Genomic DNA, 18,166 nt, shown 5'->3' on the forward strand with positions numbered 1-18,166 from the left:
TAGATAAAATATAACTTTTATGCATAGAGATCACAAGACAAAAAAGGAAAACCCAATTATAGGAAATAATCAAGAACCTGAGAAATAATTCAGTAAGTTTTGGGGTTTACACAATTTCTTTGGTTTTCTTGCACATTGGGAATCTATATAAAGCCCTAGGCCAGTACTAGTGTTGGTATTGATTCCTATGCACAGATACACATATTTAATTAAAAGAGAGAACTAGAAAGAAATTCACCTCCAGTACAGGTAAAATATGTCAATCTCTGCCTGTTCAAAGATAGAAAATATATATCCCCTGAGAATTTGTAAACAGCCACTGGTGCCATATTAGGTTTTGATGCTTAAGTATATATTATAATATTACTGTCAGGTTTTTGGAACACTCTCATTGAAACTTTAGTTGTGTTCCACTAATGGTGATCTCAAGCTGTAATACTTCTGGGACATCTGGCCCTAGAAAAAATAACCCACTGGAGGACTATGCATTCAGTTTAGGTAACATAGCTTAAAACCCTCAAGTAGGTAAACTTACAATTTAAGTTTTAAAAATCATATAAAAACTAATCCACCATCAGACAGTGTCCAGGGACATGATAAATAATAAGATTAACTCAAGAGAACATCACAAATATGGAATCTCATAGAAAGTCACCTAAATCACTTAAAGATGATTGGAAGATTTAAAATAAAGAATCAAAAATATTAGAAAAACATGGTAGTGCAAAAACCTACAGGATTTTTTGAGAAAAGATCAAATAAAATTTATTGAAATAAAACCTTTTGTACCTTATGATTAAAATGTAATGGAATGATAGTGTAGTCATGCAGAACAAACAGAAGAATTAGTCAATGAAAGGATGAGCCTGAAGAACCTACTCAGAAAGCAGAAAGATAAAGGGATTCAGAAAATATGAAAGATAGATTAAAAGAAATAGGGACCAAAATTAAATGATATAACATGTTCACAGGCATCCACAATAATAAGCAAAAAAAGTCCATTAATTGCAATGACAAACTACATATTCCATCTCATCCATCCCTCCTGCTGAGAACAACTGAAAAAGTATGAGAAAATATTTTATCAAAATCTCCACAGAGTGGTTAAGAAAAATAAAAAGAATTAGGGAACCAAGATCTGGGAGACAGGAGAAGCTCAGAAAGCTGAGTCTAGCAACTACCCTTAGCCACATTCCCCTAAGGGTATCTGTTTATATTGGAAGAAGAAGCTAAGAGGCGAGGAAGCTGAGCAGGGCTTTTCACACACCTATGAGCCTAATGGGACAAAAATCAAACTTTATGCACAAAGAGAAGCCCTGGTAAAAGTCCGCAATTTCAGTAGTTACCCTTAAATAAGGATGAATCAGAAATCAATCAATTCTTAAAGGAAACTAAGCTCAATTTTGAGTCATCTCCATCCCTGTTTGAATTAAAGTGATCTGTAACCTCCAAAGTCCAGCCTTACTGCTGGCAGAGGCAAATATAAATCTTCTCTGGAAGGAGATCGCTTCTTTATTCAGACCCTATAATTATCTCTAAATTTTTTCATATATAATACCAGGCCTCAATAAAATAGAACGAAGAATGCTAGAAGACAAGACATGATGAAAAACCAGGGGGAAATTAAAAAGGTATTATAGAGATTCACCAACAATTCAGATAAAGTTTTCATACACAATTAAGAATAACTATGATTGATATAAACATAAAATACAAGACAGAATTATTTGGAAATCTAGAAACTACGGAAAGAAACACAGACATTTTGGAACTGCAAAGTATAGTAAGTGGGTTTATGAGATATCATTTAATGGTAGAGAGAAAAATAGTGAACTGGAAGTTGGAAGAAAATATCCCAACTAAAGCAAAGAGAGATAAATATGTGGAACGGGAAAGGTGTAGGATATATACATGATGAGCAATGAAAAAGTACATCATTCTAATATATGTGAAACTGAAGTGTGAGAATAAAAAAGTTAAAGAAAAGTGAAAAAGCTATATATTGAATGATATGATGGCTGAGAGTTTTCCAATACTGGCAAAATATATCAAGATAAATATTAAAGAATTACTGTAAATAACTATATAGATATATAAAATAAAATGTACACATACACATATATTGATATATAATTAAAGACATATGATGACAAGATCTATATACTGAATATATATGTAATGAAAACCAGATGTAAGTATATAATTGCTAAACCATTTGAAACAATAATAGAAAAATATTTTTAAAAAACAGATTAAAAAACAAAAAATGTCATAAATATTACCAACAAATTAATGGCAATTAAATTAATAGAAGAGTTCTAAAGAGCAATATAAGATATTGGCCAAATAGCTTTTAAATGAAACACTATTGAAAGAAAATGTAAAATAAGGACAAGTTTAATTTGACTAACAAGTCTTACTGTCAATAGAACACGTCTTTCCGTCATTAGATTAACATCTAAAGGACCAATTTGAGAAAAAGAAGTTGATTTCAAGAGAAAGCGATGAGATGATGAAATAAATAAAACAATATTGAGCAAAATTCTGGCATGCATATGGATAATTCTATACAAAAAAGCAGAATATCTTATAATTTGATTATATACAATGTGATTATAATACTACTAATAATGTATGTGCATATGCAAAAAATATATACAACCATAATGTACAAAATGGGAAGTATTCTTTGACTTTAAACCATCCTGCAAATTTAGGAAGAATGCACAAAACAAAATTAAGGAATAGGAAGTATTAGTTGGGGAATGGAATGCTAAATAGGAAGTGTCATGGCATGAGAGAATGTCCTGGCCGGGCGCGGTGGCTCACGCCTGTAATCCCAGCACTTTGGGAGGCCGAGGCGGGTGGATCATGAGGTCAGGAGATCGAGACCATCCTGGCTAACAAGGTGAAACCCCGTCTCTACTAAAAATACAAAAAAAAAATTAGCCGGGCGCGGTGGCGGGCGCCTGTAGTCCCAGCTACTCGGGAGGCTGAGGCAGGAGAATGGCGTGAACCCGGGAGGCGGAGCTTGCAGTGAGCCGAGATTGCGCCACTGCAGTCCGCAGTCCGGCCTGGGCGACAGAGCGAGACTCCGTCTCAAAAAAAAAAAAAAAAAAAGAAAAAGAGAGAATGTCCTGTGTAAATTGCATTGTCACTTTGAATATGTTATTTTATTAGAATTGTTATACTCCTTCTAAACAGTGGAAGCCTACAGACCTAAGAAAAGGGGCAGGCACATGAATTCTTGTCTTTCTTCTTAAGTAATAAACATCAAATATTACCCAAAATTCTTCCTTGATGTGCTAAAGATATTGGCTGCTGATTTAATATTGTTAAATTAGCTGGGTTTATTTTGTTAAAAAAGATTCATTTAGTACAATACTTCACTGGGATTAAATAGACCATTTTATTCTCTGTAAACCATTTCTTTGCAGTCTTGTAAATGCTACCTACATAATTAAGTGATCAAGCCAGAATGAAACCAAGGATGCCAGTGAGACATTTAATGGTTTAGTATGAGATGTATGATAGTGTTTATCTATCTGAAAAATGAGAAAACTATTTCCGCTCTCATTCTCAACAACTAAAAGTGTTTAACACTGAAACCAGCACCAATCAATGTCTATAATTTTGCTGACCTTGAAAAACAATGCAACTGCTAAAGAGTTTACTTTTACAAAGATAGAGTGCACTAACACAATATAATCAGCAACTGCAGAAAAAAGTTTCTATAGGAAAACAAAGACATGCTTCTGGAAATGGAAAATTTTAAAGCTGCACAAAATCTCTGAATTATACAATAAAAAATAGGATGAAGGAAGGATGCATAAAGCAACAAGCTGGTTGCCTGTGATACGAAGCACAAAGCAAGAATTAAGTGGGGCAGGAAGACAGATTGCAACCAAACTATTTATTTATGCTCACTGGTTAAAATTTGTAACCAGTGTGCTCACTGAATTACCCAACATCATCTAAGGAAGAAGCAAGATTGGTCATCATAACTATGTCCCCATTTACATTAGATACTATCCGCTGTGCAAGTCTCCCAGAGGACCCTTTAACTCAGTGACAGTCCTCCCAATTTTACTTTGCAGAAACAGTAATCAGACCTGATTGTCCACCTCTTCATACCTTCTCAGATTTTCCAACATACTTTAAGGCAGGGGTCTCCAACCCCTGGGCCACAGACCAGTCCTGGTCCCTGGCCTATTAGGAACCTGGCTGCACAGCACATGGTGAGTGGTGGGCATGTGAGCAAAGCCTCATCGGTGTTTACAGCCATTCCCCATTACTCACATTACCGTCTGAGCTCTGGCTCCTTGTCAGATAAGTGGCAGCATTAGATTCTCATAGCAGCACCTACCCTATTGTGGACTGTGCATGTGAGGAATCTAGGTTGCATGCTCCTTATGAGAATCTAATGCCTAATGGTCACTATCTCCTATCACCCCAAGAGGACACTGTCTAGTTTTAGGAAAACAAGTTCAGGGCTGCCACTGATTCTACATTTTGGTGAGCTACATAATTATTACATTATATATTACAATGTCATAATGATAGAAGTAAAGTGCAAAATAAATGTAATGTGCTTGAATCACCGTGAAACCACTCCCTACATCCCCTGTGTGTGGAGAAATTGCCTTCCATGAAACTGGTCTCTGGTGCCAAAAAGGTTGGGGACTGCTGCTTTAGGGCACTCATGATCTGTCTTCTAAATCATCAAATTCCACTCCAAAGAGTCCTTCATTGTCCTGCTATGATATAAAACTTTTCTTCCTCTTCTTCAACTAGTATTTATATTTCATAATAAATTTACATGATTGTATGTCAGAAAGAGTATTAGGAGTCCTTTTTCTTATTAAATGCTGCTTCAAAAATATTTGTTTTCTTGATTTGCATATGTTGAACCAGCCTTGCATCCCAGGGATGAAACCCACTTGATCATGGTGGATAAGCCTTTTGATGTGCTGCTGGATTCGGTTTGCCAGTATTTTATTGAGAATTTTTGCATCGATGTTCATCATGGATATTGGTCTTTTTTTTTGGTTGTTGTGTCTCTGCCAGCCTTTGGTATCAGGATGACGCTGGCCTCATAAAATGAGTTAGGGAGGATTCTCTCTTTTTCTATTGATTGGAATAGTTTCGGAAGGAATGGTACCAGCTCCTCTTTGTACCTCTGGTAGAATTCAGCTGTGAATCCGTCTGGTCCTGGACTTTTTTTGGTTGGTAAGCTGTTAATTATTGCCTCAATTTCAGAGCCTGTTATTGGTCTATTCAGAGATTCAACTTCTTCCTGGTTTAGTCTTGAGAGGGTGTATGTGTCCAGGAATTTATCCATTTCTTCTAGATTTTCTAGTTTATTTGCGTAGAGGTGTTTATAGTATTCTCTGATGGTAGTTTGTATTTCTGTGGGATTGGTGGTGATATCCCCTTTATCATTTTTTATTGCATCTATTTGAATCTTCTCTCTTCTTTATTAGTCTTGCTAGTGGTCTATCAATTTTGTTGATCTTTTCAAAAAAACAGCTCCTGGATACATTGATTTTTTGAAGGGTTTTTTGTGTCTCTATCTCCTTCAGTTCTGCTCTAATCTTAGTTATTTCTTGCCTTCTGCTAGCTTTTGAATGTGTTTGCTCTTGCTTCTCTAGCTCTTTCAATTGTGATGTTAGGGTGTCAATTTTAGAACTTTCCCGCTTTCTCTTGTGGGCATTTAGTGCTATAAATTTCCCTCTACACACTGCTTTAAATGTGTCCCAGAGATTCTGGTATGTTGTGTCTTTGTTCTCACTGGTTTCAAAGAACATCTTTATTTCTGCCTTCATTTTGTTATGTACCCAGTAGTCATTGAGGAGCAGGTTGTTCAGTTTCCATATAGTTGAGCAGTTTTGAGTGAGTTTCTTAATCCTGAGTTCTAGTTTGATTGCACTGTGGTCTGAGAGACAGTTTGTTATAATTTCTGTTCTTTTACATTTGCTGAGGAGTGCTTTACATCCAACTATGTGGTCAATTCTGGAATAGGTGTGGTGTGGTGCTGAGAAGAATGTATATTCTGTTGATTTGGGGTGGAGAGTTCTGTAGCTGTCTATTAGGTCCGCTTGGTGCAGAGCTGAATTCAATTCCTGGATATCCTTGTTAATTTTCTGTCTCATTGATCTGTCTAATGTTGACAGTGGGGTGTTAAAGTCTCCCATATGCAAATCAATCAACATAATCCAGCATATAAATACAATCAAAGACAAAAACCACATGATTATCTCAATAGATACAGAAAAGGCCTTTGACAAAATTCAGCAGCCCTTCATGCTAAAAACTCTCAATAAATTAGGTATTGATGGGACGTATCTCAAAATAATAAGAGCTATTTATGACAAACCCACAGCCAATATCATACTAAATGGGCAAAAACTGGAAGCATTCCCTTTGAAAACTGGCACAAGACAGGAATGCCCTCTCTCACCACTCCTATTCAACATAGTGTTGGAAGTTCTGGCCAGGGCAATTAGGCAGGAGAAAGAAATAAAGGGTATTCAATTAGGAAAAGAGGAAGTCAAACTGTCCCTGTTTGCAGATGACATGATTGTATATCTAGAAAACCCCATCATCTCAGCCCAAAATCTCCTTAAGCTGATAAGCAACTTCAGCAAAGTCTCAGGATACGAAATCAGTAAGCAAAAATCACAAGCATTCTTATACACCAATAACAGACAAACGGAGAGCCAAATCATGAGTGAACTCCCATTCACAATTGCTTCAAAGAGAATAAAATACCTAGGAATCCAACTTACAAGGGATATGAAGGACCTCTTCAAGGAGAACTACAAACCACTGCTCAATGAAATAAAAGAGGAGAGGGCACAAACAAATAGAAGAACATTCCATGCTCATGGATAGGAAGAATCAATATCGTGAAATGGCCATACTGCCCAAGGTCATTTATAGATTCAATGCCATCCCCATCAAGCAATCAATGACTTTCTTCACAGAATTGGAAAAAACTACCTTAAAGTTCATATGGAGCCAAAAAAGAACCCACATTGCCAAGACAATCCTAAGCCAAAAGAACAAAGCTGGAGGCATCATGCTACCTGACTTCAAACAATACTATAAGGCTACAATAACCAAAACAGCATGGTACTGGTACCAAAAGAGAGATATAGACCAATGGAACAGAACAGAGCCCTCAGAAATAATACCACACATCTACAACTATCTGATCTTTGACAAACCTGACAAAAACAAGAAATAGGGAAAGGATTCCCTATTTAACAAATGGTGCTGGGAAAACTGGCTAGCCATATGTAGAAAGCTGAAACTGGATCCCTTCCTTACACCTTATACAAAAATTAATTCAAGATGGATTAAAGACTTACATGTTAGACCTAAAACCATAAAATACCTAGAAGAAAACCTAGGCAATACCATTCAGGACATAGGCATGGGCAAAGACTTCATCTCTAAAACACCAAAAGCAATGGCAACAAAAGCCAAAATTGACAAATGGGATCTAATTAAACTCAAGAGCTTCTGCACAGCAAAATAAACTACCATCAGAGTCAACCGGCAACCTACAGAATGGGAGAAAATTTTTGCAATCTGCTCATCTGACAAAGGGCTTATATCCAGAATCTACAAAGAACTCAAACAAATTTACATGAAAAAAACAAACAACCCCATCAAAAAGTGGGCAAAGGATATGAACAGATACTTCTCAAAAGAAGACATTTATGCATTCAACAGACACATGATAAAATGTTCATCATCACTGACCATCAGAGAAATGCAAATCAAAACCACAATGAAATATCATCTCACACCAGTTAGAATGGAGATCATTAAAAAGTCAGGAAACAACAGGTGCTGGAGAGGATGTGGAGTAATAGGAACACTTTTACACTGTTGGTAGGACTGTAAACTAGTTCAACCATTGTGGAAGACAGTGGGGCGATTCCTCAGGGATCTAGAACTAGAAATACCATTTGACCCAGCCATCCCATTACTGGGTATATACCCAAAGGAATATAAATCATGCTGCTATGAAGACACATGCACATGTATGTTTATTGCGGCACTAGTCACAATAGCAAAGACTTGGAACCAAGCCAAATGTCCAACAATGATAGACTGGATTAAGAAAATGTGGCACATATACACCATGGAATACTATGTAGCCATAAAAAATGATGAGTTCATGTCCTTTGTAGGGACATGGATGAAGCTGGAAACCATCATTCTCAGCAAACTATCACAATGGCAAAAAACCAAACACCACATGTTCTCACTCATAGGTGGGAATTGAACAATGAGAACACTTGGACACAGGAAGGGGAACATCACACTCTGGGGCCTGTTGTGGGGTGGGGGGAGGGGGGAGGGACAGCATTAGGAGATATACCTAATGTGAATGACGTAAATGATGAGTTAATTGGTGCAGCACACCAACATGGCACATGTATACATATGTAAGAAACCTGCATGTTTTGCACATGTACCCTAGAACTTAAAGTATAATAAAAATATATATATATATATGGAAAAATATTTGTTTTCCATTTTCCTTGTGGAATGCATATCACTAGACTTTACTATCTAATATTATTTCTTCTAATTGCTATGTCTAATGTTCTTTCCACCTAAATCACTGATCATATTAGCATAGCACATCCTCTCCTCCACTATTTACTTATCAATGTTGATGATTTTAACATCACTTTAATTTTCTGCCCTTTAGGTCCTTGATCTACTCAAATCTGAAGATTCTCTGCTCTGCAACTCTTTCCCCGCGTCTTATACTAAGAAATGCACTACCCCCAAACTAGAGATTTCAAATATCTTACTTCTTATAATCACCATCTCTCCTTTCTGCTTATTTACACTAATAATTCTCTCTAAAACATTCCTTGATTTTCCAAGAATTATTCTACTATTTTCACGATCATAAATTCCTCATTTCTCCTAAATTTCATGCTATTCTGGACTAAATTATAGGATCCATAACAAATCACAACCTGAGGAACGTACCTACTTTACTTTGCCCTCTTCTCTCTTGGTCTCACTATGAGCAACCGTAAACCTCGTTTTACTCAACTATTTGACTTTCTGAGTTACTGAATTACTCTATACAGAGATAATTTTCCTGATACTGATGGCAGCATCAGGTCATCTGTAGAGGCTGTTGCCATCATGCCAGCTGCAGTAGGGAGGTGAAGCCAGGACTGCATGCTCCATGGAGCTGGCAGAAGCCAGGAAAAAGCGGGAGATTCACCCCTTATAAGTAGGGGCAGGAGTTCCCTGGGTTCTACTGCAGCCATCCAAACTGTGGCTGCAGACCCCAGCCTCTCACTCCATGGAGCAGGCATGACAATCACCCCACCGAACACAGCTGCAGCCACCCAAATCATGGCTGCAGGCCCAGGAATCCCTGAACTCTCAGAGGTCTAGGGAGGCCCCGCTGCCTTCACAGGGTTGAAAGTGTCTGCTCCAGCTGTCTGGCTTCTCTCTGCTCTCAGTGCCCACTCCAATTTCAGAGCAAAGTTGGGACCAAGCCCAGGCACTGTGACAGCCCTACCGGGTTTGTGCACACTTGGAGCAGTGCTGACACACCAGCCCCCTGCTGCCTGCTGCTCTAGCCCCCTCTGGACTTTGGGCACTGACAAGCAAGGGAGGAAAGCCATAGGGGTACTAAGGGCAGCTTGGCACTGGCATGTAGATGCCCCTTGGCATGAACAGCCTGGGCACCATAAACAGCAGTAGGAAGCAGACAGGCTCCTGGGCAGAGGGGGCCAGTTCCTGGTGAGGCCTCATCTTCAGGCCGTGAAGTGCCTGAAGGATGGGGACCCAGCTGCCAGTCTCACAGACTGGGATGTGAACTTGTGGTGTCTTTTCTGGGCCCTCCCTTGGCTGCCTATGGACCAATCAGAGTACACTTCCTTCCATCTGAAGCCCATAAAGGCCCCAGGCTCAGGCAGAGCTGAGGAGAGGCGGGAACTACCAGCTGCAGAGAGGAACAACCCACTCCAGGGCCTCCTTTTTGCTGAGAGCTTGGAAGACAGCAGGATGACCTGCTTGCAGTGGAGAACAACCCATTGCAGGACCTCCTCTCTGCTGAGAGCTGCAGAGATGATGGGACAACCTGCCCATGGAGAGGAGCTTCCCACTCTAGGGTCTCCTCTCTGCTAAGAGCTGAACACTTGTTGGGAGACCCTGGTGGCAGAAAGGAGCTTCTCCCTATAGGTTTTCTCTGAGCTGTTCTATTGCTCAGTCCAAGCTCTTCTTCATCTTGCCCACCCTCCACTTGTCTTCATACCTCATTCTTGCTGTTTGTGGGACAAGAACTCAGGATCCACCAAACAGCAAGGCTAAAAGAGCTATAACAAAAATGGAGCTAAAGGCCAGGCAAGGTGGCTGACACCTGTAATCTCAGCACTTTGGGAGGTTGGGGTGTGTGGATCACCTGAGATCAGGATTTGAGACCAGCCTAACCAACATGGCAAAAACCCATCTCTACTAAAAATACAAAAATTAGCTGGGGGTGGTGGCACATTCCTGTAATCTCAGCTACTTGGGAGGCTGAGGCAGGAGAATCATTTGAACCTGGGAGGTGGAGGTGAGGTTTCAGTGAGCTGAGATCACATCATTGCACTCCAGCCTGGGCGACAAGAGTAAAACTCCATCTAAAAAAAAAATGGGGCTAAAACATCCCCCTTGCTTGCCACGTTGCAGGTGAAGAGAAGGAGAGAAAAGCTGCAGCCTTTCAGGGAGCCCAGACCTGGGAGCTTCCAGAGCCAGGCCTGTGACTCCCTCTTTGGGCCCCTGTGGTTGCTGGCATTTCTAAGCTTCTGGGTGCTATCACACTCCCTGGTGACAGCTGGGGAAGCAGCTTGTGGTGTGCCTGGTCCAGCTGCAGCCTCACAGAGAGCTAACACCCATGCTGGCACCTGGAGGTGTCTACCCTGTGGCAGGAGCCAGCATGTCTGACTGTGGAGTGGCCTGATCCAACACTCACTCACACACCCTTTGTCACTCCACACCTGACTTCAGTTTCCCTTCGAGGTGTGGGATCCGGGCCAGTAGCATGAGCTCAGTGCAACCTGCCAGGCCGAGTGGGCAGAATGAGCCCAGCAGGCCCAAGGAAAACTCAGGCAAAGGCATCACTAGCCACAAGTTTCCAGCCAGAAAAGCAACACCCTAAAAATCTCATAAAAATACTGCCAGATGGAGCAGATCCTAGTATTTTCTGCCTGTTATTGTTTCCCCACTTCCCTGTTTTTGGTCTTTATATCTGAAATTACTTATGTCTATTAAGATTTTTAGTGTACATTTCTCATTACTGTTGTGAAATCTCCATGAGAACAAGTACTCTGGATCATTTTGATCACCACTAGTATATGCAGTGATTGGAGGACTGCATGACACTGAAGAATGTGTGATGTGATTTTATAATATTTAAATAGATGCATGGCCTTTTTTAGAAGAAGACTTGGTAGTAGTTTTATATATATATATGTGTGTGTGTGTGTGTATGTGTGTGTGTTTATTTATATTTATATATACCATGATTTTAGTTAAATGTGAGACTGTTACTTATAATCCTTTCCCTATCTGAAGAGAAGGTGATTACTGCTTAACCACCAAAGTCTGTCCACATTCACTGTGTTTAAAATCTGAAATTATACTCTGTTGTTGTTTTACTATTCTCAGGTAAATGATTTCCATGAATCTTAGTGTTCTCATCTGTGAAACAAACAATAAAAACAAAAATAAATGGAGGCCACAAAAGTATCTATCTATTCAGGACACTGTGAGGAATAAATGTAATAATATGTCAAATTACAAAAAAATTATTAAGAACTCATTAAATATACTATTAAATTATAGTTTTAAAGCAACATTAAAAACTTTTGGTCTTTTGTATAGGTGGAAGCATTTCTGCTAAAACATGATATATGCATTCCTGAGACACGTTTTCTGAAAAAATAACACTATGAAAATACAAGGTTATAAAAACATAAAGTTAGGGAAAGATTAGTTAAAATCTTTACAACTCTGTGTTGTGATCACTAACAAAACCAGCAATAGTCATAATAAAAAATAATAGTACAGTTAAAATTATGTTTCTAATAAAAAATTCAACAGAAAATATAGTTCGCCTTCTTTAAAAAAGGGGGAATAAAGGGTGATGAAAATGTGTGTAAGAATGAGTTTCCAGTGCTTAAATTAACAAAGATAAAGGGAAATTAGACAAAATACATTTCTAAGACAGAGCACCTGGCCAAAGGAGCTTGGTAAGAAATAGATATTGTGATACAGTGTATATTAATAGCTTATATCTCTCCGTGTTTATGTTGTATAGTTTGTGCTCAGCTAGTGTTACTTGGTGGTGCAAAATGATACCGTGCTCAAAGAAAGGTTTATAAACAATTGTAAATTCCACATCATACTGATACCATTACCCTATTTACCAATTTTGCATGAGTTAATTAAAGTTATAGAGACAAATAAAGCAAACTATATAACCAAGTAAACATATTCTTACAGTCAAATGTAGTTGTTGCTCAACAGGAAAGAAATCAAAGAAACATTTATCATGATATCCCTCAAAGCATTAAATGGATATTTATTTACTGTCACTAAGATAAACATGCACACACACACAGACACACACACACACACACACTTACTTAAAACATTCTTTCCAGGCAAATTTAATGCTTTAACAAAAATCAATTCTGGTAAATAGAATTTTATTCATCTCATTCAACCTTGTTATGGGGAAAATACTTTCTTGCTACAAATTATTCAACAGTTAGGTTTCTACTCATGGAAGAATGATTTTCTTTCAAAATCTTGCTGGTTGATTGCTGATACATCAGTTTGTCAAAAGATTAACCTCAATTACACACTTTAGAGCCACGGAGAGAAAAAAATAAAGTATGAACAAAATGTCATGGCTTGTGGAGAACATTTTAACCTGCTTTCATTTGTAATCTATAGAAAGCTTTTTAAAAAAATACCAGAAAACATAAAATTTTAAAAAAAATAAATATTAATAGATGAGAGGAAGGGGTCTATCCCCACCCTCCCCCACAGTAATCTGTGTATAAATATCTGTGAAATGTATAAGTGAATCCAATGCAAACCAGCTAGGTTACCATTTGCATTGATTTGTTTTTCAATTGTCAGCATTTAGAAGAGGAAGTAATAGGACAAAATCATAGGAAAAAACTCATATATATATATACTCACACATATACATATATTATAGCTCCATATGTAACATATTTATACATATAAGATGATACAAATATAATCTCTATTTATATCTCTATATAACCTATGTCTATATCTATCTATAAGATTCTATATCTATACATCTATCAAATTTTATTGATATATGGTAGATAGATAGATATAAAGACATGATATTTGATGTTATATTTTTTTAGTTTTGATATAGGAGTCTGAAATTCCTGGTGCATTTTTGAGAAGCTCTGTCTTGTGAAAAAAACACAATTTAGGACATTTTATATAAATTATGGAAAAGGTAGCATCTGGAGTTATTTGCATTCAGATTGGAAAGTAGAATGAGGTGAGAGACTTTACACTTGCTTACTATTCAAATGCACAAACATTAATGGTGAATGTTGAAAATGGTGCCTGACATTTAATTTAAATTTAAAACAAAGTGTAATTTAAAATTAAGGTGTAATTTAAAACAAAGCTCCTATGTGAAATGTAATGGCTTTAAGGCTTTGAATGAAACTACATGCTACCAACCATAGCTCTCAGCAAAGAGGAATTGGTAAGAGAAAACAGAAAAACAAAATGACAATCTGAAAACGTTTCAGATAGATTTTTATTCTCCATCTTGTTTTTTGTTTGTTTGTCTGTTTTTGTTGTCTTAAACAATAAGACATTTATTATTTCACACACCAGGCCAATGTGAGTCAGGTAGCTCTTGACTGAGTGACATGGAGGTTAAATCAATCCATCACAAGTCAAGTGAGATTAACATTGTCCATAAAGAAGTTAAAGGTTTTCTGGCCATCAGAGAAATGCAAATCAAAACCACAATGAGATACCATCTCACACCAGTTAGAATGGCGATCATTAAAAAGTCAGGAAACAACAAGTGCTGGAGAGGATGTGGAGAAATAGGAACACTTTTACACTGTTGGTGGGACTGTAAACTAGTTCAACCATTGTGGAAGTCAGTGTGGCAATTCCTCAGGGATCTAGAAATACCATTTGACCCAGCCATCCCATTACTGGGTATATACCCAAAGGAATATAAATCATGCTGCTATAAAGACACATGCACACGTGTGTTTATTGCGGCACTATTCACAATAGCAAAGACTTAGAACCAACCCAAATGTCCAACAATGATAGACTGGATTAAGAAAATGTGGCACATATACACCATGGAATAATATGCAGCCATAAAAATGATGAGTTCATGTCCTTTGTAGGGACATGGATGAAGCTGGAAACCATCATTCTCAGCAAACTATCACAACGGCAAAAAACCAAACACCACATGTTCTCACCCATAGGTGGGAATTGAACAATGAGAACACATGGACACAGGAAGAGGAACATCACACACCGGGGCCTGTTGTGGGGTGGGGGGAGGGGGGAGGGATAGCATTAGGAGATATACCTAATGTTAAATGATGAGTTAATAGGTGCAGCACACCAACATGGCACATGTATACATATGTAACTAACCTGCATGTTGTGCACATGTACCCTAAAACTTAAAGTATAATAATAAAAAAAAAGAAGTTAAAGGTTTTCTAAGTCACAAGCAGACCCCAGTTAAGGTCCTGTTGAACCTAATGCCTTTCTCCTGTGTGGATTAACTGATATAGAAGAACTGTATGGTTGCAGGTAATCTTTTCCACTTTGACTACACATTGTAACATCTTCTTCCACTGTAATAAGACTAACCCAACACTGATGGGTGCCTCAACAGCAAAAAAAAAAAAAAAAAAAAAAAACATTTATCATATCCCTCAAAGTATTAAGTGGATTTTTATTTACTGCCACTAAGATAAATATGCACACAGAAGCACACACACAAGAATATAAACACAACACACACAAACACACACAGGCTTACTTAAAACATTCTTTCCAGACAAATTTACTCTTTAATAAAAATAATGAATTCTAGTAAATATAATTTTATTCATCTCATTAGATGTTGTTATGGGAAAAATACTTTCTTGCTACGAAATATTCAAAAGTCATCTTTCAACTCATGAAAGAAGCATCTGTGGCTTTTCCAGGTGTACATTGCAAGCTGTCAGTGGATCTACCATTCTGGGATCTGGAGGATGGTGGCTGTTTTCTCACAGCCCCACTAGGCAGTGCCCCAGTGAGTACTTTGTGTGGTGGCTCCGACCCCACATTTCCCCTCTGCACTATTCTAGAAGAGGTTCTTCTTGAGAGCTCTGCTCCTACAGCCGACTTCTGTCTAGACATCCGGGGGTTTCCATACCTCCTCTGAAATCTAGGTGGAGGTTCCCAAACCTCAGTTCTTGACTTCTGTGTACCTGCAGGCTCAACACCACGTGCAAGCTGCCAAGCCTAGGGGCTTGCGCCCTCTGAAGCCTAAGCTGTACATTGGCCCCTTTTAGTGATGACTGGAACTGGAGCAGCTGAGACACAAGGCAACAAGTCCTGAGACTGCACAGATCAGGGGGCCCCTGGGCCAGGCCCACAGAACCATTTTTTCCTCCTAGGTTTCCAGACCTGTGACAGAAGCTGCTGCTGTGAAGGTCTCTGAGGTGCCCTGGAGAATTGTCCCCATTGTCTTGGTGATTAAGTGTGGCTTTCCCTGAACATGAGTGGCCTGGTACTGCAGCACTGGACTGCAAGTTTCTCCTAGTCTCCTGGATATGAAGGACTTTTTTCATATGTTTGCTTTTAGGTTCTTTACAAACTAAACCCTGTCCTTACTTCTGAAAAATTTATCGCTACTGTTTTGCTTCTCGTTCTGGTGAAAATTTTGCTGAACTTGAAGCCTGTTCTGTGTGTGCCTACGTCTGTACAGTTTCTACCCAGAATTGTGTTATTTGACATTCAGTCAGGTGAAAAACATCCTTTAAGTCAAGGACAGGTATCTCACAAGAGTGGGCCATATAAATGCACGGATCTGCCTTTACAATCCTGAATTGTGACATTCTTACATAAATAGCCTGTTCAAAAAGTTGCCTCTTCATCCTCCACTCAATGTCATTAATGCAGTGAGGCCATAGTGCAAAATAATCCATCATTCCAACATGATACAGGAATCTTTGAGTCACATAAAAGAACACTGACTTATCTGGAAAAAAGTAAATGGCCATATCCTCAAATACCACACAGCCCTTCCTAGAGTTCATAGGCATTTCTGTGGCATGGGAATGTGTCCAGCTGCCCATGTGACAACTTTATTCTGGGACATCTCAAAATCAATGTGTTCATAAATTTAATGCCTAATGGCCTTAAAATCTACTCCTTTATAACTTCCTGTATTAGTTCATTTTCACACAACTGTAAAGATACTACCCAAGACAGGCAATTTATAAGGAAAGAGGTTTCGTTGACTCACAGTTCTGCATGGCTGGGGAGGCCTCAGGAAACTTACAATCATGGTGCAAGGCAAAGGGGAAGCAGGCACCTTCTTCACAAGGTTGCAGGAGAGAGAAAAATAAAGCACACGGGAAATTGCCATTTATAAAGCCATCATGTGTCATCACAACTCATTCACTATCATAAGAACAGCAAGGAGGAAACGGCCCCCATGATCCAGTAACCTCCTCTCTCTGTATGTGGGGATTACAGGTCCCTCCCTTGACATGCAGGGATTATAATTGAGATGAGGTTTGGGTTGGGACACAGAGCCAAACCATATCATTTACCCCATGGCGCCTCCCAAATCTAATGTCTTTTCACATTAAAACCAATCATGACTTTCCAACAGTCCTCTGGCATTTTGACGACAACCAGTCAGCAAGTCTCTAGGAAGTTTCAAACTTTCTCACATCTTCCTGTCTTCTTCTGAGCCTCTAGACTGTGTCAACTTCTACTCACTACCCAGTTCCAAAGTTGCTTCCACATTTTCATGTTATGTTTATAGCAGTGCCCCACTCCGGGTACCAATTTACCGTAGTAGTCTGTTTTCATACTGCTATAAAACACTACCCAAGACTGGGTAATTTATGAACAAAGGAGCTTTCATTGAGTCATGGTTCCACATGGCTGAGGAGGTCTCAGGAAAGATATAATCATGGCGGAAGGCAAAGACGAAGCAAGGACCTTCTTCACAAGGTGACAGAAGAGAGAGAAAAATAAAGCACAGAGGAAACTGCCATTTATGAAACCATCAGATCTTGCGAGAATTCACTCACTATCAGGAGAACAGCATGGTTTCAAGAAAGCACCCCCAGGATCCTATCACCTCCCGCCCTCAACATGTGAGGACTACAATTCAAGGCAAGATTTGTGTGGGTACACAGAGCCAAACCATATAACTTCACCATTGCCATTCTTCCAGATATTCTGGTAGGTAAATGTGGAAAGTTATTTCACCCTTTATTTTTGATCCTACCTCGGTTCCACATCTAATGCAGCAGGAATTCTTTTTTCCGGTGCTGTCATTTTGATCTACCCAGAATCTGATCACTTCTGTCTCATCTACTGACATCAAAGTGGTCTGTACCCCACTTTAGTCTCCTAGAGTCTGTTCTAGCATATTTCTTACTGTGTCCCTGCTTCCACTATCTTTCCCAATAATGGTCCATTCTTTGTCTGAGCAATCTTTGGGGTTTTTAAAAAATTGTAGCTCAGAACATGTCTCATCCTATATACAATTTTTCATGGTTCCCGGTGAGATTGACCACTCTACATCCTGAGAAAGTGATGTTGTAGTCAGGGAAAATATCCAATGTCCACTGCGCAGGTAATGGCATGGAAGAGATCCCTCCTCTTTGTTCCAGTTACCTCAGTCCTGAGAACATCTTGGATTCTTCAGGATACAATGTCTGGTGCCTCCAATCAGGAGAACAGATTCAAGAGAAAACAAAATTTCAAAACTCCATCTTGTGTTTAAATGTAATTCCTTTACTAGAGGCTTTTTGGAAATTACAAAAAAAAAAAAAACCTAAAATTTTCATAA

At 38.7% G+C, this 18,166-nt stretch overlaps 1 protein-coding gene across 9 annotated transcripts in view; it reads right to left on the reverse strand.

Annotated features, from left to right (window-relative positions):
* Window positions 1-18,166, reverse strand: part of TECRL (trans-2,3-enoyl-CoA reductase like) — a 133,163-nt gene that overhangs the window by 54,632 nt on the left and 60,365 nt on the right. The window lies entirely within an intron of this gene.

The sequence above is a fragment of the Homo sapiens genome, chromosome 4 (genome assembly GCF_000001405.40).
Source record: "Homo sapiens chromosome 4, GRCh38.p14 Primary Assembly".
Taxonomy (NCBI): Eukaryota; Metazoa; Chordata; class Mammalia; order Primates; family Hominidae; genus Homo; species Homo sapiens.